Genomic DNA, 25,189 nt, shown 5'->3' with positions numbered 1-25,189 from the left:
ACACCACAGTCCTTGGCACTTTGGAGATGGACTGCATCTCCCAGTAGGCCCAGGCCAGGGAAAGCAGTGCATTCTGGGGCTTATAGTTCTTTGCCTGAGCCTGTGCATCTATTCTCTGCCCCCCTCCCCCATCCCTATAGGCCTTGCCCTATGTGGCTCTTCTCATCGCAATGATATTCTTCATCTATGCCGTCATTGGCATGCAGGCAAGTGGGGACCCTAGGAAGCATCCCTTAAGCACTCCTCTGCTGGCAGGGGATGGGTTAAGAATAGCCCCAAAGTAGGGGTGGCAGGTAGACAGACAAGCTGGACGGCCCTGGGTCAATCTACACATCTGTGAAATGAGATCAGCAGTGATGCCCTGTTTGTCAGGGTTATGAGGCTCCTTTAGGTATTAGGAGGTGTGAAATGGGTGGGGCATGGGTTCACCCCACTGACACAGCCTTGATGTGTCCACAGATGTTCGGCAAGGTGGCTCTTCAGGATGGCACACAGATAAACCGAAACAACAACTTCCAGACCTTTCCACAGGCTGTGCTGCTTCTGTTCAGGTGACATCTACTCACTCCCCTGCCACCTTATGCCCGTGGGTGCCCACCCACCCTCTCTGAGCCCCAGACTGCTTGAGCTATGGGAATAATATGGCAGCATGGGGCTCCATACAGCCCGAGATGTTTCCTGGCTATGATGTGAGGAGTCTGTTAGAGTATTCTAGCCTCAGCCATTTTCTTTCTGACTGTAAGACGCCTCCCCTTCTCAGGTCTCAGTGCCTCATCTGTAAGATGCAAACATGACTGTCGTCAACATGGCCACACTGGCTGTTAAAATATTGAAATGTTATCTGTGCCAGATGTAGCCCCTGGTGAGAAGTAGGTCATCTCCTCATTCCCCAGTCCTCCCCCAACTCCATTTACCATGACTTCATAGCCTCCCCTTCAGGATGCTACCCCTGTGTGACTCCCACCAGGTGTGCCACTGGTGAGGCATGGCAGGAGATAATGCTTGCCAGCCTTCCCGGAAATCGGTGTGATCCTGAGTCTGACTTCGGCCCTGGTGAAGAGTTTACCTGTGGTAGCAATTTTGCCATCGCCTATTTCATCAGCTTCTTCATGCTCTGTGCCTTCCTGGTGAGAACCATTTCCTCACAACCACCACCACCGTCACGGGGGCTGGCCCTGAGGGGCTCAGGGATGTGACGTGGGCAGCCCAGATCTTCATAGTGGGTGAGAGGGCTGGTCTGATGACAAGATCAACCCAGAGACTCATGACCATATAAGCCCGCCCCAGCCTCCCACCATCCGTCCATGACAGTGTTCTGCCCTTCACCTAACTGCTCCCTTGCTCACTGGCCCACAGATCATAAATCTCTTTGTGGCTGTGATCATGGACAACTTTGATTATCTCACCAGAGATTGGTCCATCCTGGGCCCCCATCACCTTGATGAATTCAAGAGGATCTGGTCTGAATATGACCCTGGGGCCAAGTATGCCCTCTATACCCTTACCTAGAATCCAGGGGACAATGTATTGCCCTACACAGTCCCCTAGCCCCCAAACCTCCGACTGCTGCATCTCATTACCCAGTCAATAGATGCCCCAAAGTTTCCACTGCCCCATCCTCTGCCCTCTCTGACTGCCCTCCAGTTCTTCCCTGGCAAGCTCTGGGGTATTGGTAGGAGGAGGTAGTGATGAGCTGGTGGGGCCTTGAGAAAGGGCTAGTGGGGGCATCGCCAATCCAGTGGTACCTCCCCAACTCCTCCAGGGGCCGCATCAAACACTTGGATGTGGTTGCCCTGCTGAGACGTATCCAGCCCCCTCTGGGATTTGGGAAGCTGTGCCCACACCGAGTGGCCTGCAAGGTCTGTGCACCTGCCCACCCCCAGGCTCCTGAGAGAACTGTCTATCACATGGCAAGGGTGGGAAGGGATCTGCCTTGGGTGGGGAGGGGTGTTTGATCGCATCCTCAGAGGTTTCTGCCCCTTGACATTCGTTCCTGCATACCCGGCATTTTCCCAGAGTGGGTTTCATGTCTCTCGTGTTTGCAGAGACTTGTGGCAATGAACATGCCCCTCAACTCAGATGGGACGGTGACATTCAACGCCACACTCTTTGCCCTGGTCCGGACATCCCTGAAGATCAAAACAGAAGGTGTAGGGGAGGGGCAGGAGTGGGATCGTTCCTGGGGAGGGTGCAAGGAGCAAACTCATTGAATCATGGGCCCCACTCCTAGCTCTGAACCCCAGAATGGGTGACAGGATTCTCCAGGCCTGTTTCCCCCCACCCCGTCCAATGGGGGCGGTGTGCATCTGCGGTAGCAGCTTGTGAAGTTCCCCCCACCCAACAGTGAGGGGGCAGCTGTGGAGGTTCTTCCTATTGGCTCATGCCCCACATCCTCCTCCAACGCAGGGAACCTGGAGCAAGCCAACCAGGAGCTGCGGATTGTCATCAAAAAGATCTGGAAGCGGATGAAACAGAAGCTGCTAGATGAGGTCATCCCCCCACCAGACGGTGAGCTATCCCCGCCCCAGTTCCCCGCGCCAGCCCCTGAATGGCAGATGATCGCTCTCCACCACAAAACCAGCGCTGGGCAGAGGGCGAGGGGAAGTCCATGCTGGTGGGTAGAGAGGCGGCGAGGTGGGCTGGGTCAGAGGGCCCCTGTGTGATCTTGCCTTCTCTCCCTTGCCCCTAGAGGAGGAGGTCACCGTGGGCAAATTCTACGCCACATTTCTGATCCAGGACTATTTCCGCAAATTCCGGCGGAGGAAAGAAAAAGGGCTACTAGGCAACGACGCCGCCCCTAGCACCTCTTCCGCCCTTCAGGTCTTCGGGGCAGGGCCTAGTGTGGATGGGCACGTGTGGCAGTGCTGTGGCTGAGGCTGACCCCCATTTTGATCTTGTGAAACCCATGTCACAGATAAGGAAACTGAGGCCCCAGGCCTCACGGAGGGCCAGGGTGGCTGAAGGACTCCTTCCCCCACCCTACCCGCCTGCAGGGGAAACAGAGGGAAAGTTCAGACCCTGAGCTGCCTGCTTACCTATTTCTCCACCCCCACAGGCTGGTCTGCGGAGCCTGCAGGACTTGGGTCCTGAGATGCGGCAGGCCCTCACCTGTGACACAGAGGAGGAGGAAGAAGAGGGGCAGGAGGGAGTGGAGGAGGAAGATGAAAAGGACTTGGAAACTAACAAAGTGGGGACAAGTTTTCACTCTCCCAGGAACTTGATTGTAAAATACTTCGTCAATCCCCTGAGTGATTTTGACACTGCTTCTGGGAAGAAGCTCCCCCAGAGAAGCCCCCTCTGCAATAGAAAAATATTTATTTGAGGCTGGGAGTGGTGGCTCATGCCTATAATCCCAGCACTTTGGGAGTCCAGGGTGGAAGGATCGCTTGAACCCTAGGGTTCAAGACCAGTCCTGGCAAAATAGTGAAACCGCCTCTCTACAAAAAAATTTAAAAATTAGCTAGGAGTGGTGGTGCAAGCCTGTAGTCCCAGCTACTTGGGAGGCTGAGGCAGGAGGATTGCTTGAACCTGGGAGGATGAGGCCACAGTGAGCTGTGATCATGCCACTGCACTCCCGCCTGGTGACAGGACAAGACCCTATCGCAAATATTTATTTATTTATTTACGTATTTATTTATTTGACATTTACCATTGCTGTTGGAGGGCAAGGCCCACATTCATGGACCTGTGGGGGAGACATGTTATATGACCAAATGACTTAGCCACAAAGTGCATGCAACACTCAGTCCTGTGACTCTCCACAGGCCACGATGGTCTCCCAGCCCTCAGCTCGCCGGGGCTCCGGGATTTCTGTGTCTCTGCCTGTCGGGGACAGACTTCCAGATTCACTCTCCTTTGGGCCCAGTGATGATGACAGGGGGACTCCCACCTCCAGTCAGCCCAGTGTGCCCCAGGCTGGATCCAACACCCACAGGTATTATCAAGTGTCTGGAAGTAGATTGTGAGGGAAGGCAAGGACTAGACACTGGATAGAGGCAATTCAGGAGGCAGGAAGTTGAGGGGGGTGGGAGGGAGGGCCTAGAGGCCTTCAAGCAGAAATTTGGGAAGAATGGAGGTGTTTCAAGGGCTCAGGTAAGAATAGAGGGTGATAAGAGATTCATATGAGAAAGGCAATACAAAGGTTTAATGCAAAAAGCACATTGTGTGAAACCAAGAGTTTCAGTTCACATTCTGCCTCTGCCATTTGCTAAGTGACCTTGAGCTAATCACTTTTTTTTTTTTTTTTTTTTTGAGACAGAGTCCCGCTCTGTCTCCCAGGCTGGAGTGCAGTGGCACAATTTCGGCTCACTGCAACCTCTGCCTCCCGGGTTCAAGCGATTCTCCTGCCTGAGCCTCCCGAGTAGCTGGGATTACAGGCGTGCGCCATAATGCCAGGCTAATTTTTTTTTTTTTTTTCAGTAGAGACGAGGTTTTGCCATGTTGGCCAGGCTGGTTTCGAACTCCTGACCTCAGGTGATCTGCCCACCTCAGCCTCCCAAAGTGCTGGGATTACAAGCTTGAGCCACCGTGCCCTGCCTAGTCACTTCGTTTCTATGAGCCTCAGTTTCCTCACCTGTTTAAGGGGGATGACAAAGCACTTACTTCACAGGGATAAAGAAAGGATGAAATGAGGTAATGCATGTCAAACACTTAGCTGCTAGACAATACATAAGCAGATTAAAGAAAAATTTTAAAAAAAAATTTCAGAGTGTCTAGCTTGCCTAGGCACGGTGGCTCACACTCGTAATCCCAGCACTTTGGGAGGCCAAGGTGGGAGGATCGCTTGAGCCCAGGAGTACAAGACCAGCCTGCACAACATAATGAGACCCCGTCCATACAAAAAATAAAAAAATAGCCGAGCATGGTGGCACATGCCTGTAGTCCCAGCTACTTGGGAGGCTGAGGTGGGAGGATAAATTGAGCCTGGGAGGTTGAGGCTGCAGTGAGCTGAGATCATGCCGCTGCACTCCAGCCTAAGTGACAGAGTAAGACCTCGTCTCAGAAAATAAAAAATAGAAATAAAAAAATAAAGTGCCTAGCTTTTACAGGCTCCCCCCACTCCTAATACATGCCCAGTTTTGTGTTCAAGGTGTCTCTCTACAGGTCAACTTTGATTTTTTTGAAACTTTCAGTCCTAATTAGATGAACATCTATTAAACAAAAGCCCATGGTCACTTTAAAATGGTTAATGGTTAATTTTATGTGACTTGTCCTCAACAAAAAAATCCAAAAGCCCAGTGTTTCTGTAAGGGTTGGGGCATGGGATGAGAGGAACCAGGGGTCCAGGGCCACATATTGAGGGATCTGGTCTGCCTAACGTGCCTCCCTTTCCCCAGGAGAGGCTCTGGGGCTCTCATTTTCACCATCCCAGAAGAAGGAAATTCTCAGCCCAAGGGAACCAAAGGGCAAAACAAGCAAGATGAGGATGAGGAAGTCCCTGATCGGTACACTGGCCATGCCACATGGGATGAACCCATGAGCTGGGGTGGAGGAGGGGTGGGAACTGGGTCGGGGAGGACTGTTTGTGCCCCATCTCCCAGGCCCAGGTCCAGGCCCAGACCCAAGTTCACCCCTGGCCCTCCCACCCACACAGGCTTTCCTACCTAGATGAGCAGGCAGGGACTCCCCCGTGCTCAGTCCTTTTGCCACCTCACAGAGCTCAGAGATACATGGATGGGCACCTGGTACCACGCCGCCGTCTGCTGCCCCCCACACCTGCAGGTGAGAGCAGGGATGGATCCAAGGGGCCCCCACGGGCCTGCAGGACAGAGATCTGGGGAAGCACTGACATTGCTATTTGCCCCTGGTGCCCCACCCACCCCCAGGTCGGAAGCCCTCCTTCACCATCCAGTGTCTGCAGCGCCAGGGCAGTTGTGAGGATTTACCCATCCCAGGCACCTATCATCGTGGGCGAAATTCAGGGCCCAATAGGGCTCAGGTGAGGCTGTGGAGGTGGTGCTGGGGTCTGGGGTCTGGAGAGATGGGGGCAGCCTAGGCTGAATTTCTCAAACACAGCACATATCAGGCCCTTTTTTTTTTTTTTTTTTTTTTTTTTTGAGACAGAGTTTTGCTCTGCTGCCCAGGCTGGAGTACAGTGTTGAGATCTTGGCTCACTGTAACCCCTGCCTCCCGGGTCCAAGCAATTCTCCTGCCTCAGCCTCCCAAGTAGCTGGGATTACAGGTGCTCACCACCATGCCTGGCTAATTTTTGCATTTTTAGTAGAGATGGGGTTTCACCATGTTGGCCGGGCTGGTCTCAAACCCCTGACCTCAGGTGATCCGCCTGTCTCAGCCTCCCAAAGTGCTGGGATTACAGGCATAAGCCACCGCGCCTGGCCTCAGAGCCTTCTGAAGAACAGGACACATATGAATGAATGCACACAATGCTCACTGTACTTGTGAGGAAACTGAGGTCCTGAGAGGTTTACCCCAGATCATGCAGCTAGTAAGTGGCAGAGCTGACATTTAAACCCAGGCCTCCTGCACTCTTACATAAATAAACTCAAGCCTGACTTATACCCATTCAATTTCACTCCAGTTGTATACTGAGGGAAAGAAGTAGGCACAGCGGTGAGTCCTAGACCCTCATACCCTACTCATCCATCCCTGCCCCTCTGATGTTTATTCTGGCTCAGGGTTCCTGGGCAACACCACCTCAGCGGGGTCGGCTCCTGTATGCCCCGCTGTTGTTGGTGGAAGAGGGCGCAGCGGGGGAGGGGTACCTCGGCAGATCCAGTGGCCCACTGCGCACCTTCACCTGTCTGCACGTGCCTGGAACCCACTCGGACCCCAGCCATGGGAAGAGGGGCAGTGCCGACAGCTTGGTGGAGGCTGTGAGTCCAGAGGGCATATAGACAAGACGGATGGGGGAGAAGGGGAGGAGGTGGGTACTGGAGGAGGACGGAAAGGAGTCCCCAGGTCCTGTGTTGTGCATGTAGATATCCCTTTGCCCTACGACCTCTGCTCACCCCTGTCCCCCACTGACTTCCCTACATGCCCTCATGGGCACGTCATTTATCCACACTGAACCTTCTGTGCACACTGTGCCGTCCGTCAACACTGATCCCACCTGTGCCCCCAGGTGCTTATCTCAGAGGGTCTGGGCCTCTTTGCTCGAGACCCACGTTTCGTGGCCCTGGCCAAGCAGGAGATTGCAGATGCGTGTCGCCTGACGCTGGATGAGATGGACAATGCTGCCAGTGACCTGCTGGCACAGGGAACCAGCTCTCTCTATAGCGACGAGGAGTCCATCCTCTCCCGCTTCGATGAGGAGGACTTGGGAGACGAGATGGCCTGCGTCCACGCCCTCTGAATTCCCACCCCTCCCCAACTGCTCAATAAACCTCCTGCCCTCCCCTCCCCAGCAGGAGGCAGGCATGGACCACATCCCTGGATTTTGTTGTCTTTGCACTGGGGGTCTGGGGCTGCCCAGGGGCCCCCATCCATCCATCCCCTGTTCTAGCCCTGAGCCACTGCCCACACACGGGTATTTCCAGAAACCAGGACAGCCAGGCCTGATTATTCAGCGTCAGGGAAGGAGGGAGGAGGAGGAGGAGGAGGAAGAGACAGCAGCCAAAAAAAGCTGGAGGCAGAGTGGAGGAGGGGGGAGGGGGAGGGCACTGGACAGAGATGGAGGAAAGGGGAGAGAGCGGGTGTGAGGGGTGCTTGGACCCAGAGAGGAAGAGAGGCAGAGATTTCACCAGGGCTCAGCCAGGTCAAACTAGGAAGGGTAGACGGATGAGAAGGAAAGGACAAGGAAACCCAGAGAAGAATCCTGCCAGGGGAGAGGCCTGGAGGTTGGAATCGGCCTGGTATGTGATGCATCTTAGGCAGAGGGGTCCTCTGACGGCAACAGGAATTTTAGGGTGGCTAAATTGAGATCGCTCTGTCTCCCATCTCCCACTTTCTGCCTGAGAAAGAAAAGAAAACCTAAATCCATCAGTAGACAACATAGGTGACAGCAAAGGTCAGGGCTCCCAGCCCTGGGGAACCCACTCAGGGCCCACCTGGCTTTCCTGAGACCACCTAACAGTAACCTACTCTTATCCCACACAGATCCCAGAGGTCCTCTCTGCTTCTTGCCCCAGCTTTACTCTTCACCCAGCCTTTGGGGTTACATTCGCTCACTGAAGGCTTATCAGGCATTTACTATGTGCCAGGCACCGGCTCTGGGTTTCTCTCGGGGCAAACTGAACTGGTTGAAACACGGGACAGGTCTCATCCAAAGTGGGAGTCAGCCCCACTCCAGAGGAATTGAAGGTAGCATTGGGAGTGGTGCAGGATGAGACCACCAGTCGGGGAGGAACTCTTCCCAGCTCCCAGAACAGGGGTGTCTCATTTGTATAATCTGCGCCAATCAAGCCAGGACTGAAATTTGAGGGAAGCCAGAATTGGAGACTAGGACTGAGAAGATTGAGTTACATTAGGCCTTGAAACAAAGGCTTAAAGTGGTTGGGCTGGAGTTAGGTGAGAACAGCAAGTCATGGGCAGGGCACAGAGAGTGAAGGGAGACTGTTGAGGGATGAGGTGGGAGAAGCCACTGAGGCCAGATCAGGTGGAACCTTGAATGCCAGGTCCCAAACTCTGGGATTTTTCCTATAAGCAGTGGGGAGCCATGGGAGGGATTTGAGTAGGGTAGTGACATAGTTAACATTGCATTTTAAATAGATGTTCTGACGGCTGTGCTGAAAACAGAAGGGAGGGGGAAGAGACTGGAGATGCTAAAATTGGCAGGAATGATGGTCGCCTTAGCCAGAGGAGGTGGCAGAGGAGATGGTGAGAAGTGAGTGGATTCCAGAGATGTGTAGGAGGTAAAATGAACCATTTATTGGGCCCTGTGCTAACTGCATTACAGTGATCATCTCGTTGAATCAGTGCAACAACCTTATAGGTATCATTTTAAACCATCTTACCTGTCCAGGGTCAAACAAGAAGTATCAGAGGTGGCATTCAAATTCAAGCAGTTTGATGCCAAGATCCATGCTTTTAACCCCTCCTGTGTACTGCTTCCCCAATAAGGCAACAACAGGGAAGTATCCATTACATATATGTGTGAATTTTCATGTTTAAAAAAACAGGTATTGAGCTGGGCATGGTGACTCATGCCTGTCATCTCAGCACTTTGGGAGGCTGAGGCGGGAGGATCACTTGAGCCCAGGAGTTCAAGACCAGCCTGGGCAACAAAGTGAGACCTCGTCTCTACAAAAATATTTAAAAATTAGCTGGGCGTGGTGTCTCACGCCTGTGGTCCCAGCTACATAGGAGGCTGAGGCAGGAGGATCGCTTGAGCCCAGGAGGTCGAGGCTGCAGTGAGCCATATTCATGCCACTGGACTCCAGCCTGGGCAACACAGGGAAACCCTGTCTCAAAAAAAAGATATTCATTCAGATGGTTCAAAATTCAAAAGGTAGGCCAGATGCAGTGGCTCACACCTGTAATCCCAGCACTTTGGGAGGCCAAGTGGACAGTGGATCACTTAAGGTCAGGAGTTCACAACCAGCCTGGCCAACATGGCAAAACCCCATCTCTACTAAAAAAAAAAAAAAAAAAAAAAAAAATAGCCGGACGTGGTGGTTTGTGCTTGTAATCCCAGCTACTCAGGAGGCAGAGGTAGGAGAATCGTTTGAACCCAGGAGGCGGAGGTTGCAGTGAACTGAGATTGCACCACTGCACTCCAGCCTGGGCAACAGAGTGAGACTCTGTCTCAAAAACAAAACAAAACAAAACTACTGAGATGCTGTTTTTCATCTTTCAGGGTGGTGAGTATCAAAAAGTTTGATAATGTTCCATACTGGCAGGTTGGCCAGAAACAAGCGTTCTCATAAATCGCTTGTGGAAGTTTCATTGGTATAACCTGTGTAGAAGGCAACTGGGCAAAATCTAGAAAAATAAATTCATTTACTGTTTTGTTCAGCTTCATACTTCTAGGAATTTCTTACAGGTAGACTCATATATGTGCTAAAAGGTGTATGTATAAGATGATACACTACCAGGCTGTTTATTTTTTTATTTTATTTGAGATGGAGTCTCAAAAGGTACAAAGGGGTATAAAGTGAAAAGTTTCCCTACCCTCTGGAAGCAAATAGTATTATCAGGTATCTTTCACAGACATACAAGATGGTGTGCTGAAAAAAAAAAGATGGTGTACTGATAAGTTAGCACAGTGGCTAAGAGTAACAGGTGCTGGAGCCAGACTTCCTGGGTTCATATCCTGGTTCTACCAATTTACCAGCTGTGTGAACTTAGGAAAATTCCTCTCCGCCTCTTAGTTTATTCAGCTGTAAAACAAAGATAGTTGTCGTACCTGTCACATAGGGTTACAGTAAGAATTTAAGTGAGTAATACAGGCAAAGTTCTCTAAAGAGTACTTGACAGAAAACAGCCACAATTTAAATGTTAGCTATTCTCTGTCTGATATAACCCTTCTCTTCTCTTTGTACACAATTACCACACAGTTTGACATCTTGCATTTTTTACTTAACTAAATATCTTGGCAATCATTCCATAGTTCCATGTTATTATAATGACAGCGGCATAGTATCAGAGTTTATTTAAACAGGCTACCAACAATGAGCACTTTGGGAGTGTCCATTCTTTATCCTATTATAAACAGCCCTGGCCTGGCCCAGTGGCTCACACCTGTAATCCCAGCACTTTGGGAGGCCGAGGCAGGCAGATCACATGAGGTCAGGAGTTCATGACCACCCTAGCCAATATGGCGAAACCCCATCTCTACTAAAACTACAAAAAAAAAAAAAAAAATTAGATGGGCGTGGTGGTGAATGCCTGTAATCTCAGCTACTCAGGGAGGGTGAGGCAGGGAGAATTGCTTGAACCCGGGAGGCGGAGGTTGCAGTAAGCGGAGATCATGCCACTGCACTCCAGCCTGGGCAACAGAGTGAGACTCCGTCTCAAAAAAAAATAAAAAATAAACAGCCCAGTCATGTATTATCTTATACATATATCTTTTAGCACATGTATGAGTCTATCTGTAAGATGAATTCCTAGAAGTATGAAGGTGAACCAAACAGTAAATGAATTTGTTATTTTTTTTTTTTAGATTTTGCCCGATTGCCTTCTACACGTTATACCAATGAAACTTCCACAGGCGATTTATGAGAACGCTTGTTTCTGGCCAACCTACCAATACGGAACGTTATCAAACTTTTTGATACTCACCACCCTGAAAGATGAAAAACAGTATCTCAGTATTTTTGTTTGCTTGTTTGTTTTTGAGATGGAGTCTCGCTCTGTTGCCCAGGCTGGAGTGCAGTGGTGCAATCTCGCCTCAGTGCAACCTCCGCCTCCTGGGTTCAAGCAATTCTCCTGCCTCAGCCTCCCAAGTGGCTGGGATTACAGGCGCCTGCCACCACAGCCAGCTAATTTTTGTATTTTTAATAGAGATGGGGTTTCACTATGTTGGCCAGGCTAGTCTCAAACTCCTGACTTCAAGTGATCCACTGTCCACTTCGGCCTCCCAAAGTGCTGGGATTACAGGCATGAGCCACTGCGCCTGGCCGAAGTTGAGCATCTTAAGCCCCAACTGTATTTTGGATTTTGCATCATAGCCATCACTGTTGACCTTGATGGGCCTAGTTTTAGTCGCAGGAAGGAGGGTTATTCCAATTAAGAGAGAGCTAAGGAATAAATAGGTAAAGTGGTAGAGTTCGAGTAGGCATTAATTTGACAAAGAGGAAGAAAGAAATAAGGGAGATGGCTAGATGGGGGCAGGAGTTTCAGGGTGTGCTTAAAATGCAGACTATGAAAAAGGAACCTGGAAGGCCTTGAACCGTGTTTAAACTGCAGGGACTCTGGGCACTGCCAGCTAGTAGCTGGCTGACCTTGTGAGAGTCACTTAAGCTCTCTGGGGAATTATTTTCCTCGTCTGTAAAAACGGCCTAATAGTCCCTACAACGTAGGACTTCTGTAAGCATTAAATGAGTGAACATGTTTAACAAACTCAGAAAAGAGCCTGGCAAAGTTGTCACACTGTAGGACCGAGCAGGGAGGTCTCCTCTCCCCGGCCCTCGACTTGTGTTTTCCCAACGCATATTCCCGCACGCTCTCACGGCTCCAGCCTCCGGGCCGGAATGGCTGCCGGTGAGACTGTGGTACAACCCGCTGTGCGCAGGCGCGTGGCGGGCAAGGAGGGGGCGCGAGGGGCGGGGCTGCAGCCGCCTGGGCTGTTCCAACGAGCGCGCGCCGCCCCCGCCGCGCCCCGCGCCGCCCTTGCTAGCCGAGCCTCCCGCCCCCTGCATTGCTGATGCTGCTGCTGGCGGACATGGACGTGGTGAATCAGGTACGCGCTCCAGCACCGTGGACAGAGCCCGCCGCCGCCCGGCTGCCTAGGCCGGGTCGCTCAGGCCAGCCGACTCTGGGAGGTGGTGGCCAGGGTCTGGCAGCGGAGACCCGGTCCCCGGCGCTGGGGATGGGGGTCTGCGGCAGGTGAAGGGGAGGAAGGGGGAGGTGGAGAAAAGGAGTGCGCTCTTTGCCGCAGCGAGGGCCGTCCTCACTGCCGCAGCGGGGGCCCCCGGAGCCCCGTTTATTACTGGCGACCGCGAGGGGAGGAATAGGGGCCTGGGGGCTGGAGTGAGGGCAAGGGACAAGGGGAGGGGAGAGTGGAAGGAAGATGGGGGGTGCTGCGGATAAGCTAGGAAATAGAGCGACAGAAGGTGTGGGGGCGGGGATGGGGGAGAGGGCTGGCACCCGCCCCTCCCAAACAGAGACTGTACCCCCATAGGCGACCACCCCTTCCCCCAGAGCACACCTAGGGGACAATCCGGTTTTACTCCTTCCAAAACCCCCAGCCTCCTCACCCCCAACACATAGCGACTGAAGCCGTGTCCCAGCCCTCCCCCACCTTAATCAGTCCAGACCCTCTCCGCCATGTCTCTCGTCTTTGCCACCTCAGAAACTCACCCCCAATCAGTCCCAACCCTTCCCCATCCCCATCACCTCAAATATCTACCGCCACCGCCGTCTAACACACCTTTACCCCTGCAGACCCTTCCCCCACCTGAGCCAAACCGACTCCTGCCCCGTTATGACTCACCTTCACCATCACAACCCCCCCACCCGAATGCACCCCACTCCATCCCCATTCTCTACCCGAACCCCTTCCCCATCCGACTCGCCTTTACGTTTCAAACCTGCTCCCCCTCCTTAACTAGTCCTGACCTCATCCCCATCTCCCTCACCCCCGACTTCCTCTGCCATCTGACTCACCATCTCTTCAGACCTTCCCACCAGTCCTTGGACCCTGGGGCTCACACCATCCCCAAGGTGTCACTTTCTCCTTCTCACCCTCTCCCCGAGGTCACATGCTCCATCCCCTGGGGTCATTGATGGGCAGCCTTGCCGCTCACCTCCCTGTACCTCCAACAACCCCACCCCTTCCCCACTGTTTCTCTCCTCAGCTGGTGGCTGGGGGTCAGTTCCGGGTGGTCAAGGAGCCCCTCGGCTTTGTGAAGGTGCTGCAATGGGTGAGTGTGGTCCGGGCTGTTGGGGCAGAGTGCAGGGAGAGAGGGAGGTCATGGGGTCCAGAAGAGCAGGGGTGGAGTAGGGGCGAGTAGCCAGGGATGAGTGCGGGGGTTGTAGGGGATGGGGGAATTGGGCTCCAGGGTGAGGTTTCAGGGGTCTGAAGCCAGAAAACAGATGAGCTGTGACGTCACATAGGGCTGAGGGTACCCCCGTTGTGAAGTGGGAGACTGTGACGTCCTACCTCCTCTCTTGAAGTGAGGGAGGGGTGGGGGAGGTGGAGCCTGTAGCAGATGCTGGGTGAGAGATGCAAAGTCAGAGAAACCCAGAGACAGTGAAGGTGACAGAGAGAATGAGGGACAGGGAATGATAAAGACAGAGATGGAAATACTGAGAAAAAAAAAAGAAATATGGAGATGAGAAGAGATACAGACATAAGAGAGAAGAGACAAACAGAAACAAAGAAAAAGGAGACACAGAAAACAGATGCAAAGAGAAACAGACGCAGGGAGAGAGGCAGGAAAACAGGGTGAGGGAGAGAGAGACACAGAGAGAAAGAGACACTCAGAAAAAAGAGAAACCAACACACAGAGGCAAGAGGGAGACAGAGAGAGAACCATCCGGAGACCGAGTGAGAGACAGGACAGAGAGACAGAGACAAACAGACCAAGAAACAGAAAGACACAGACATACAGGCATACACTTACACAGACAGAGAAAAAAGAGACAAAAAGAGACATCGACAGATCAGATAGGCAGAGGCAGAGAGGATCAGAGACACAGAGAGACAAAGAGACATCTGAGAAAGACAAAGACACATAGAGAAACAGAGATACCGAGAGAAACAGAGACACAGTGAGATACACAGAGAACAACAGAGACAAACAGAGAAGAGGGAGGTCAGCATGGAAAGGCAGAGACAGAGAGAGACACAGAGAGAGAAACAGGAAGAGACAGCCATACCCTTGTAATCAGCTTGTCCTTGGTCCCGATGAGCCCTGATTAGGGGGTGGGGGTGGGGACTGCTCCATCTGCTGCTGCCTGTGCTGGGCCCCCGATCTGTCCAGAGGAGGGCACCTCCCTCCCACATGCACACAGGTTCACTGTGGCCATCCCCATCCCTGCTGCCCAAGGTCTTCGCCATCTTCGCCTTTGCCACATGCGGCAGCTACAGTGGGGAGCTCCAGCTGAGCGTGGATTGTGCCAACAAGACCGAGAGTGACCTCAGCATCGAGGTCGAGTTCGAGTACCCCTTCAGGTGTGCTCCCACCCTGGGATACCAACAGACCTGGGAGAGGAAGGGGCAGGGTGGAACCGGCCAATACCTCCCCCCGCAAGTAGCTCCTGCCCAGCTCCCACCTCGAGGCTACATCCACTGGGATCACTGAGCACCTGCCTTGTACCTGGCACTGCTCTGGACTCTAGGACTATGTGGTGAGCAAGGCAGACATAGGCTGTGGCCCTCTGGCTCTGTTCCAGCGAAGGGGTAAGGGACAGGCAATAAACAAGATACAAAAGTAAGACAGGTGTATATACATACCTTAACCCAGTAGGTACCCAATTAATGTTAGCCAATATTATTATTTAATCCCCATTCATTCATTCTATACACATTTTTGAGAACTTATTTTATATCTGGTACTACTCAAAGTGCTGGAAGCATGATAGTAACTAAAACAGACCCAACTCCCGCCAGGCACAGTGGCTCACGCCTGTAATCCCAGCACTTTGAGAGGCCGAGGTGGGCGGATCACCTGAGGTCAGGAGTTCGAGACCAGCCTGACCAACATGGAGAAACCCCGTCTCTACTAAAAATACAAAATTAGCCAGGCGTGGTCATGCATGCCTGTAATCCCGGCTACTCAGGAGGCTGAGGCAGGAGAATCACTTGAACCTGGGAGCCGAAATCGCGCCATTGCACTCCAGCCTGGGCAACAAGAGCGAAACTCCATCTCCAAAAAAAAAAAAACCAGACCCAACTCCCTACCTTCATGGAGCCTACATTATAACAAATAAATTAACAAAGAGGATAATAGCAGACTGAGAGAAACTCGAGGAGATCCTCATGTAGGGTTTTATGGTAGAGAATAGAATAATGAGGGGTGCTGCTTAGATATAGGGAAAAATTAAACCCAATTAAACAATTCTGACATTTATTGAGCTCACACTGTGTGCCGGGCAATACACTGGGTGCTAGGTGCACAAGAATGAGCACGGCTGGCATGGGCACTACCCTCACAATGATGTTTACCTCCTGCAGGGTGGGATGACAGAGACCCACAGACACAATCCCCGCACAGGTTTCTGAGACTCCCCCACTATTTGGCCAAATCACATAACCACTCTGGGTCTCAATTTCCTCATCTGTAAAAAGGAATACTAATAATATCTACCTCACAGGGTCGTGGTTAGCATTCAATGAGTTAATATTCATCAGGTGCTTAGCACAGTGCCTGGCACACAATAAGTGCTCCATCAGTGTCTGTTCAATAAGTAAAATAAATTTAAGGGACTCAGGAAAGAGGACAGGGGTTGAGTTGGAAACTGGGGGTCTTCGAGTACTGAGGGTAAATGTAGGCTCAAGTGATCACCCAGTGGGGAGATGGAAGAGTGAAAGTAGAAGAAAACCTAGCACAGGCCCTGAGCAATGATGGAAAAGAGAGGAGATGCCGGGAAAGTGTGGCCTGAGAGGCAGAGGGGCAGCCAGGTATCCATGGGTCCACAAAGGCAAGGGAGAAAAGAGTCTGGGGAAGGAGGGGGAGCTGGCAGCAAGGGACACTGCTTAGAGCCAGTCCTTTGGGGATCCACAAGACCACAACCATCCCCTGTGCCCCCTCCCCACGCCTCCCATGTCTAGAACTTTGGGTCCTAAGGCTCTAGCCCACAAGTCCCCTAGAAAAACAGTCTTGGCCCTGGGTCCCCCTGAGCAAAATCCCTCCCAAACTGCCCTAATACCCAAGGACCTCTCATTCCCTCTTAGGGACCCCCTCTCCTGACCCAGCCCACTAGAAACAGAAACTCAAACCCAGATGCAACTCCTAGCTCCATCATTTAGGAGCTGTACAACCTTGGGCAAGTAATAACCTTGCTAAGCCTCTGTTTATTCATCTGTAAAAAGGGTCTAATAATGCCTTCTTTAGAGAATTGCTGGAGGCTGTCATTAATGAGACATTTATGTAAACTGCTTAGTAGGTGACTAATAAGTGCAAGCCTCTTCCCTCAGGGCCTTTGCTACACAAAGGCATTGGCACCATTTGCTCAGTCTCAGGATCCTGGCCTCCAATCTGAGACTGTGCTCCAGAACTTCTCCCACAGACATTTTCTCTCTACAACCCCCACCTCTCCTCCATCACACCACAGGAAAGGCCTTAGTCCCAGGACACCTCCCCTCTTCCCTCACATACACACACCCTGTTCCAAGATCCCTTTACCCTCCTTTCTTTCTGTCTGTCTTTTCCTGTTATCTAGTCGCTGGCCTCTCCTCTGCTATGCATACATTTTTTTCTCTCGGGGACCTGAACTGGGGTGGGGGAGAAAAGTCAACATGAGATAGGGAGAAAACAAGGTTCAGATCTCAACTCTGACATTCCCTTGCCAGCTGTGTGACTTTAGGCAAGTTAATGCACTTCCCTGAGCCTCTGTTTCCGCCTCTGTACATTTCATTTGATAAACATTTCTTGAGTGTCTGCTAGGTGCCAGCACTGTTCCAGGGCCTGGAGATAAACGGAGGTGAAAACACAGGAAAAAGCCCTGCCCTCTTGTAGTTACAGCAAAAACCAAGATTAAAAAAAAAAAAAATACCTGGTATGTCAGATGGGTACCACTACTATCGAGAAAAGTGGAGCAAGGAAGCCAGGCTAAGAAGTGCTGGTTGAGAGAATGTTTCAATTTAATTTTAAGTAGGGAGATCAGGGAAGGTCTCAATGAGAAGGTGACAGTTGAGCAAAGCTTCAAGGAGATGAGGGAGGCCGGGCGCAGTGGCTCACGCCTGTAATCCCAGCACTCTGGGAGGCCAAGGCGGGCAGATCACAAGGTCAAGAGATCAAGACTATCCTGGCCAACACGGTGAAACCCCGTCTCTATTAAAAGTACAAAAATTAGCTGGGCGTAGCGGCGCATGCCTGTAATCCCAGCTACTCAGGAGGCTGAGGCAGGAGAATCGCTTGAACCCGGGAGGCAGAGGTTGCAGTGAGCCGGGATTGTGCCACCGCACTCCAGCCTGGTGACAGAGCAAGACTCCATCTCAAAAAAAAAAAAAAAAAAAAAAAGGAGATGAGGGAGTAAGACCCGAAGCTATCTAGGGGAAAAGCATTCCTGGCAAAGGGAACAGCCAGTACAAACAAAGATCCTAGGGAGGGAGGATGCCTGGCAAGTTCTAGAAATAATCAAGAGGCCAGAGTGCTTGGGTTGGAGTGAGGGATGAATAACACCTATCTCACCAGGATGTTTTGAGCAATCAGTGAAATGTGACTGGTACATAGTAGGTGCTCGATGAATGGTTATTTCCTCCTCTTCCTGGGGCCTTGTCAGAAATGGGGGGACCCATGATTGGGCTGGAGGGTTGAGGGTGTTCTGAGGGGCTGGGCCACACCTGCCCACCTCTGTTTGCAGGCTGCACCAAGTGTACTTTGATGCACCCACCTGCCGAGGGGGCACCACCAAGGTCTTCTTAGTTGGGGACTACTCCTCGTCAGCCGAATTCTTTGTCACCGTGGCCGTGTTTGCCTTCCTCTACTCCATGGGGGCTCTGGCCACCTACATCTTCCTGCAGAACAAGTACCGAGAGAATAACAAAGGGCCCATGCTGGTGAGTCCCCACAGCCACTTGCATGTAGGGACCATGGGGACACGGAACCCCAGGGACACAGCCATGCTCACAGACCACACCAAATCCCAGACAGGCCCACATGCAAACAGCCACCATAACAGCCACACATATAGTTGCTGCTGCTATTAATCCACACCAGGCATCCGGGACACAGAGTCATAGAGTCACGGAGACATACAGCCTATGCAGAATCCCAGACAGGCCCACACCTGAGAACCTTCCCACTCTCACACAACTACACAGCCTAGATCAAAGGAAGAGGCCCACAGAGGTTCGCTGTGACAGTCATGCCTGTCATCATGCCACACAGACACACTGATTCCTACACCACTGTACTCACATACCCTCAGCCTAGACACAAAATGACAAAAATTCCCACATGCAGACAAAAGTAGAAAGACACATTACTTTCCACAGATTCGGAAATCATCCCAGAGTTCCCCTCCCCCCAACACCCACAGCCACATATCACAATCACACTCCCACATCCTCTGTGTCATGTACACACACAAGCTCAAGCTGGGAGGGCCACCTTCAGGTGAAAGTGTTGTGGGCTTGAGAGCTGAAAAGGCAGGGGAGAGACAGGCCTCTTCTGGGGGACCTGTGATCCGAGGAGGCCCCAGGGCCTAGCGTGAAGCAGTCCACTCACAGTGCTGTCTTCCTCACCCCTGCCTGCCTTAGGACTTTCTGGCCACGGCTGTGTTCGCCTTCATGTGGCTAGTTAGCTCATCGGCATGGGCCAAGGGGCTGTCAGATGTGAAGATGGCCACAGACCCAGAGAACATTATCAAGGAGATGCCTGTCTGCCGCCAGACAGGGAACACATGCAAGGAGCTGAGAGACCCTGTGACCTCGGGACTCAACACCTCGGTGGTAAGCCCTGGGTGCTGGCTGGAGGAGGGAGAGTGGAAAACAGTACAGTCCGGCATGGGGAGTGGTGGAGTGGGAGAATAAGAGGAGAGTCAGGGGAGATCCAAGGGGTGTCCCTGAAGAACGCGTGCCAACAACAACGTTGAAGGATGAGCTAGCAATTGTAACCACTGTGACACCACAGACTGTCCCCAAAGGGGGAACATGACAGGTTTGGGAGACCTGGATCCCAGACCCAGCCTAGACATGTAAAATAAGCAACTCAGCACCCTCTTGGGACCTCAGTTTCCTCATGTGCAAAATGAAGGAAAAACTTGAAATGTTTCCCCACTTGGATGCCCCCTACTGGCTGGAGTCAGACTGTCTGCGCTCAAATCCCAGCTCTACCTCTTGCAAGCTCCCTGACCTGAAACTAGTCACAGCCTCTCAAGGTTCAGTTGAGCATGCATAATCGAAGACTAATAATAGGTCCTGCTCCAAAGTTGAGTATTTATTGAACTAAGAATACGGAGTGCTCAGAAAAGGGCCTGGCACAAGGTAAGTCGTATACAAGGGTTACAGATGCTAAGATTACAACTTTTCTTTCCTGTCACTTGCTGGATGTGAGACTTCAGGTAACTTAGCCTCTAGGGCCTCAGTTTCCTCAACTGTAAAATGGAGATAGTATTTCCTGCCCAAAACTGAATTTTAAGTGAGCTTATAACATGTAAAGCTCTTAGAAGAGGGCTTGGCATATAAGGAAAGGTACAGAAAGTGTTTTATGTCTTAAAATTACTTTATGTGGCCGGGTGCGGTAGCTCACGCCAGTAATCCCAGCACTATGGGAGGCCGAGGCGGGCAGATCACCTGAGGTCGGGAGTTCAAGACCAGCCTGACCAACATGGAGAAACCCCATCTCTACTAAAAATACAAAATTAGCTGGTGTGGTGGTGCATGCCTGTAATCCCAGCTACTCGGGAGGCTGAGGCAGGAGAATTGCTTGAACCCGGGAGGCGAAGGTTGTGGTGAGCCGAGATCGTGCCATTGCACTCCCGCCTGGGCAACAAGAGCGAAACTCCATCTCAAAAAAAAAATTATGCAAGTTTCATATATCTTATACATGTGCACTTATACATATATTTTATCTACATTTATTTAGATGCATGTTAGTGGTATAGCTATATTTAATAAGTTTGTATCCTTACATTTTACTATGAATATATTACAAATTTACATTTTAAACATGCATAAATGTGTATATAATGTGTATATGTGCAAATATGTAAATAATTGTATATGTAATACTGATAGATCGCAGCATCCCCAGGGCTCCAAATTCTTCTAACACGCCCACCCCGCCAGAGGTGATTTTTCTGCACATCGACGTTCTCGCACTGGGACTCAGAGAGTCTGGGTTTCAGAAACCCCCACCTTGCGGAGCCTACGGATTCATTCCCCGCATGCTCATTCCTGCACGCAGGGCCGCCAAGGCAATGGGCGGGGTACCACAGCCGAGCCTTGTCTCCCTGCAGGTGTTCGGCTTCCTGAACCTGGTGCTCTGGGTCGGCAACCTGTGGTTCGTGTTTAAGGAGACAGGCTGGGCCGCCCCGTTCCTGCGCGCGCCTCCCGGCGCCCCCGAGAAACAACCGGCACCCGGGGACGCCTACGGCGATGCAGGCTACGGGCAGGGCCCCGGCGGGTACGGGCCCCAGGATTCCTACGGGCCTCAGGGCGGCTACCAGCCTGACTATGGTCAACCAGCCGGCAGCGGTGGCAGTGGCTACGGGCCTCAGGGCGACTATGGGCAGCAAGGCTACGGCCCGCAGGGTGCACCCACCTCCTTCTCCAATCAGATGTAGTCTGGTGAGTGACCGGCGAGCGGTGCGGCCAAGGAGGGTACAAGGAAGGAGACGAGCGGGTCAGTGAACCAATAAGAGTCAGGGGTAGAGAGTACGTAAGGCGTTTACTGGGGCAAGTAAGGACTGAAGTTTGAAGGAGCCAATCAAGAGGCAGAACTACCTGCTAAGAGCTGAAAAACTAGCTAATGAATGGAGAAAAGAAGAATGGTGCTTCAAGATGGACAGAATGAAGAGCCAATGGGAGGGAGGTAGAAGGGCAACTCGGCGGAAAGGCGGGGGGAGAGAAGCAGAGCAACCAATAAAGGGAGGGAATATCGGGGGACTTGCGCAGTGGCGAATCAGCGGAGCGCAAGAGCCACGGAAGCGACGAGGAGGTGGGTCTTAGAAGTGACTGATAAGCCAATAGGTGATAAGGCCAATAGATGGTGAGGGTAAATGGGCGTGGATCTTGAAGGTCAGACGAGCTCACCAATCCGGGAGGAGGGGATAGATCTGCCGCCTCTCCCCAACGCTGGAGGGGAGGGAAGTAGTGTGGAATTTCAAAGGAGGAAGAGGGATAGGGTGGGGTCCTGGAAAGGTTTGCCGGCCTTCTTGCTGGGCCTTAAAAGAGAAGTGAGGGTCGGGGCTTGGTGGCTCATGCCTGTAATCTCAGCACTTTGGGAGACCGAGGCGGGCGGGCCGCTTGAGCCCAAGAGTTCGAGACCAGCCTGGGCAACATGATGAAATCCCACCTCTACAAAAAATACAAAAATTAGCCGGGCGTGGTGGCATGCATCTGTGGACCCATCTACTCAGGAGGCTGAAGTGGGAGGATCACTTAAGCCCAGGAGGTTGAGGCTGCCGTGAGCTATGATCCTGCCACTGCACTCCAGCCTGGGCAACAGAGCGAGACCTTGTCTCAAAAAAAAAAAAAAAATGGAAAGAAAGAAAGGAAGAAAAAAAGAAAGAAAGAAAAGAGGCCAGGTGAGGTGGCTCATGCCTGTAATCCCAGCACTTTGGGAGACCAAGGTGGGCAGATCACCTGAGGTCAGGAGTTCGAGACTAGCCTGGCCAACACGGTGAAACCCCGTCTCTACTAAACATATAAAAATTAGCCGGGCATGGTGGCGCACGTCTGTAGTTCCAGCTACTCTGGAGGCTGAGGCAGGAGAATCGCTTGAATCTGGGAGGCGGAGGTTCCAGTGAGTCGAGATTGCGCCACTGCACTCCAGCCTGGGCAACAGAGCGAGACTCTGTCTCAAAACAAAAAAAAAAAGAAAAAGAGAAGTGAGATTTCCCTCAGATAGGAGGGAGGATATAGGGGAGGAAAGGCAGGAGGAAAAGGCTAAGGGGTGGCTAAAAAGTGGGGGAAGGCAAGAAGGTGGCAATACTTGGATGGAGGTAGCTTCTGACACTGGGTTAGCCAGGATGGAAAGGGCATCCCACATCTAATTCATCAAAAAATCCTGTGGGTCCTACCTTCAAAAAATATATCCTTCATCTTCCACTGTCATCTCTCCCAGACCTCTTCTCAGGTCTCCATTTCCATTCTGTTCTACTCACAGCATCTGGAGGGATTCTGTTAAATCCTAAATTAGGCCACAGTCCTCCTGTGTCAGAACTCTGCCCTGTCGCAGGCTGGGCGTGGTAGCTCACGCCTGTAATCCTAGCACTTTAGGAATGCTAGACTTGAACTCCTGGGCTCAGGTGATCCTCCCACCTCAGCCTCCCAAGTAGCTGAGACTATAAGTGTGAGCGACCATGCCCAGCTCACTTTATTTTTTCCATTTCACTTATTATTGTCACCCTATGTTATACGAGATAATCCACTCATGCATCATGTTCGCTGTGTGAAGTCTATCTCTGCTTCAGTATAAGCTCCACAAAGACAGGGATCTTTGTTTTGCTCAATATAGTTTATCACAAATGGCTAGAACAGTACCTGTTAAGGGACTATTTTTTTGGTTGGAGGAAGGAGACTGTAATCTCTTTGGTACCTAACCCAGTGGGGGCAAGGTCAGGTATATCTTCTCAGCAGAGGCAGCTGGGATGAAGCTGGCTCCAGGAAAGAAGAAAAGACATAAAGCCAGGACAAAGGCATAACAGCCCAACCCCTATCTGAGGGCGCCACCCATGTCAGACCCCCTCTCCTTTCTGTGTCTTTTGTCTCTACAGGTCAGTGAAGCCCAGGAGGACCTGGGGGGGGCAAGAGCTCAGGAGAAGGCCTGCCCCCCTTCCCACCCCTATACCCTAGGTCTCCACCCCTCAAGCCAGGAGACCCTGTCTTTGCTGTTTATATATATATATATTATATATAAATATCTATTTATCTGTCTGAGCCCTGCCCTCACTCCACTCCCCTCATCCACTAGGTGCCCAGTCTTGAGTGGGCCCCCTCTCTTACCCCGTCCCTTTCCCTGCATCCCTTGGCCCCTCTCTGTTTACCCTCCCTGTCCCCTGAGGTTAAGGGGATCTAAAAGGAGGACAGGGAGGGAACAGACCTCGGCTGTGTGGGGAGGGTGGGCGTGACTTCAGACTCTCTCCTCTCTCTCCCTCCACTCCTCCCAACTCTGGCCTTGGTTCCTCCAGCAATGCCTGCCTGAACAAAGGCCGTTAGGGAAATCCAACTCCAGGGTTAAAGAAAGGCAGAGATTGGGGGGGCTTGGGGTAGAGAGGACAGTTTAGGACCCAAGGTGGTCTTGGAGAGGAGGTGTGGAGTGGAGGGGTCAGCAGGGGGGTTGGGTTCCAGACAGAGTGGATCTGGAGTCTGAAGGAGAGGAGTGCGCTAGAGCATTCTGGGGTGGGGCTTGGAAGGGCGCTGAGGGCAGGGTTCTAGAAGGGGCGAGGCTTTAAGCGAGGCAGAATGGTGGGCTCCAGAGTAGGTGGGTCTTGGATTGGTACCAGAGCCTATGGAAAGGGTGTGGCTTGGAACATTTGGGAGACTGAGCTTGATTCTAAAGGGGACAGATCTTGAGCAAGGCAAGAAGTGGGATTCAGGAATGGGCCAAGCCAGGGTTCCAGACAGGGTGGGGCTTAGAATGGGGCTTCCATGGTGGTTTCAGAAAGGGCAGCCCCTCCCCATGGTGCAGTGAAGAAAATGTTTTACAATGGCTGGGTTTGGGCAGTGGAGAGGGGACTTGGATAGGAGCTTCCAGATGGGTTTTGTTAGGGGTGGGGGAGAATGGCTCTGGCTACGACTTGGGACGGAAGTGGCCTGAGAAGAGTCGAGTGATATGGCTTGTAGGGTGAGGCGTGGGATCCAGAGAGAAGCACCCCACCACACACACCCTTCCCCACTCCCGTGATGAAACAGCTAGGTTAATAGGAGGACAGAACCAACGGGTCTGTGGGACTGGCCCACCCCTCTTCCCCCTTCCCCTGCGCCCTCCCTCCCTCCACACCTCCACCCGTCCTGGGGTGGTTGGAGGCCTGGTCTGGAGCCCCTATCCTGCACCCTCTGCTATGTCTGTGATGTCAGTAGTGCCTGTGATCGTGTGTTGCCATTTTGTCTGGCTGTGGCCCCTCCTTCTCCCCTCCAGACCCCTACCCTTTCCCAAACCCTTCGGTATTGTTCAAAGAACCCCCCTCCCCAAGGAAGAACAAATATGATTCTCCTCTCCCAAATAAACTCCTTAACCACCTAGTCTACCCGGCTCTGATTTCTCAGTGTGTCTTTTTCGGGCGCCGGGGAGGAGGTTGGCCGGGGGAGAAAGGAGGGAGAGGTGGTGAGAACAAGCTCCACCCGGACCCACCGACCGCAGTTCAGCTTGCTGCACCATTTCAGGCCCCTTCAAAAGTGTTAGGCAGAGCAGCATCCTCTGGGAAGCCTCTCCTGCCAATCACTCTGTCACTCTCTGAGTAGCCCTGCTCACCCTCCCACTACTGGCCACCAAATGCCCGGTCTTTCTAGGAGTTGGTTCTAATTCTGGTCCCTTAGCCAAGCCTCTTCCGAGCCCCTGTGGAACCCTCTCCTCAAATCCCCAAGGGGTCCGAATAGGAGGAAACCTCACATTGCCTGACCCCATCCCTAATCTTCAGACCCTACTGTCTCTCCTTTCCCTGCCTCCGCCCAGGCTGGAGAAATGGGAGACAGGTTAGGCAAGGAGGGGAGGTGGGGCGCCGGGGTGACTCCTTAGTTCATTAGTTATTCTCTTTTACCTCTCCACTCCACGGGAAGTGACAGGGACATGTGTAATGG

General features: G+C 52.1%; 2 protein-coding genes and 1 long non-coding RNA gene across 7 annotated transcripts in view, besides 6 other annotated features; 2 read left to right on the top strand and 1 right to left on the bottom strand.

Annotated features, from left to right (window-relative positions):
* Positions 1 to 7,386, top strand: part of CACNA1F (calcium voltage-gated channel subunit alpha1 F) — a 28,278-nt gene extending 20,892 nt beyond the window's left edge. For 4 of the 5 annotated variants that reach the window (NM_001256789.3, NM_005183.4, XM_011543983.3 and 1 more), the window contains 15 exons: positions 141 to 206; positions 460 to 551; positions 968 to 1,127; positions 1,357 to 1,484; positions 1,763 to 1,859; positions 2,046 to 2,148; positions 2,407 to 2,508; positions 2,690 to 2,820; positions 3,056 to 3,187; positions 3,765 to 3,934; positions 5,337 to 5,444; positions 5,594 to 5,721; positions 5,826 to 5,938; positions 6,636 to 6,833; positions 7,082 to 7,386. In NM_001256789.3, the coding sequence (NP_001243718.1) occupies positions 141 to 206; positions 460 to 551; positions 968 to 1,127; positions 1,357 to 1,484; positions 1,763 to 1,859; positions 2,046 to 2,148; positions 2,407 to 2,508; positions 2,690 to 2,820; positions 3,056 to 3,187; positions 3,765 to 3,934; positions 5,337 to 5,444; positions 5,594 to 5,721; positions 5,826 to 5,938; positions 6,636 to 6,833; positions 7,082 to 7,312 (1,959 nt within the window). In that variant the 3' untranslated portion in view covers positions 7,313 to 7,386. The remainder of the gene's footprint in view (positions 1 to 140; positions 207 to 459; positions 552 to 967; positions 1,128 to 1,356; positions 1,485 to 1,762; positions 1,860 to 2,045; positions 2,149 to 2,406; positions 2,509 to 2,689; positions 2,821 to 3,055; positions 3,188 to 3,764; positions 3,935 to 5,336; positions 5,445 to 5,593; positions 5,722 to 5,825; positions 5,939 to 6,635; positions 6,834 to 7,081) is intronic. The other variant, XM_017029836.1, reaches the window with a different exon arrangement.
* Positions 1,978 to 3,177: an enhancer, noted in NCBI's record as "BRD4-independent group 4 enhancer chrX:49065732-49066931 (GRCh37/hg19 assembly coordinates)". NCBI's record gives its function as "activates an origin of replication core promoter dependent on BRD2, P300/CBP, MED14 and CDK7 cofactors, and independent of BRD4, by STARR-seq in HCT116 cells {active_cell/tissue: HCT116}" and the evidence as "EXISTENCE:reporter gene assay evidence [ECO:0000049][PMID:35650434]".
* SYP-AS1 (SYP antisense RNA 1) lies at positions 9,995 to 13,610 on the bottom strand. The gene is made up of 2 exons (NR_046649.1): positions 13,225 to 13,610; positions 9,995 to 10,277 (listed from the first exon to the last, which is right to left on the bottom strand). It is a non-coding gene; the product is annotated as an SYP antisense RNA 1 (long non-coding RNA).
* Positions 12,064 to 12,303: a silencer, noted in NCBI's record as "silent region_20843". NCBI's record gives its function as "represses an Ori minimal core promoter by ATAC-STARR-seq in GM12878 lymphoblastoid cells {active_cell/tissue: GM12878}" and the evidence as "EXISTENCE:reporter gene assay evidence [ECO:0000049][PMID:35858748]".
* On the top strand, positions 12,256 to 24,634 carry SYP (synaptophysin). The gene is made up of 7 exons (NM_003179.3): positions 12,256 to 12,298; positions 13,416 to 13,481; positions 14,610 to 14,734; positions 18,088 to 18,283; positions 18,986 to 19,177; positions 20,686 to 21,016; positions 23,167 to 24,634. The coding sequence occupies exons 1-6, from the start codon at positions 12,263 to 12,265 to the stop codon at positions 21,010 to 21,012; spliced, it is 942 nt and encodes a 313-aa protein (NP_003170.1). The 5' UTR covers positions 12,256 to 12,262; the 3' UTR covers positions 21,013 to 21,016; positions 23,167 to 24,634.
* Positions 12,374 to 12,423: a silencer, noted in NCBI's record as "silent region_20842". NCBI's record gives its function as "represses an Ori minimal core promoter by ATAC-STARR-seq in GM12878 lymphoblastoid cells {active_cell/tissue: GM12878}" and the evidence as "EXISTENCE:reporter gene assay evidence [ECO:0000049][PMID:35858748]".
* Positions 18,541 to 19,061: a transcriptional cis regulatory region, noted in NCBI's record as "genic|chrX:49049845-49050365 region (GRCh37/hg19 assembly coordinates) targeted for CRISPR interference". NCBI's record gives its function as "positively regulates PLP2 gene expression in K562 cells {active_cell/tissue: K562}" and the evidence as "EXISTENCE:mutant phenotype evidence [ECO:0000015][PMID:31784727]".
* Positions 21,217 to 21,286: an enhancer, noted in NCBI's record as "active region_29635". NCBI's record gives its function as "activates an Ori minimal core promoter by ATAC-STARR-seq in GM12878 lymphoblastoid cells {active_cell/tissue: GM12878}" and the evidence as "EXISTENCE:reporter gene assay evidence [ECO:0000049][PMID:35858748]".
* Positions 22,126 to 22,205: a silencer, noted in NCBI's record as "silent region_20841". NCBI's record gives its function as "represses an Ori minimal core promoter by ATAC-STARR-seq in GM12878 lymphoblastoid cells {active_cell/tissue: GM12878}" and the evidence as "EXISTENCE:reporter gene assay evidence [ECO:0000049][PMID:35858748]".

The sequence above is a fragment of the Homo sapiens genome, chromosome X, assembly GCF_000001405.40.
Source record: "Homo sapiens chromosome X, GRCh38.p14 Primary Assembly".
Classification (NCBI taxonomy): Eukaryota; Metazoa; Chordata; class Mammalia; order Primates; family Hominidae; genus Homo; species Homo sapiens.
The sequence above is the reverse complement of the archived record's forward strand: the minus strand, read 5'-3'. Positions and strand labels throughout refer to the sequence as shown.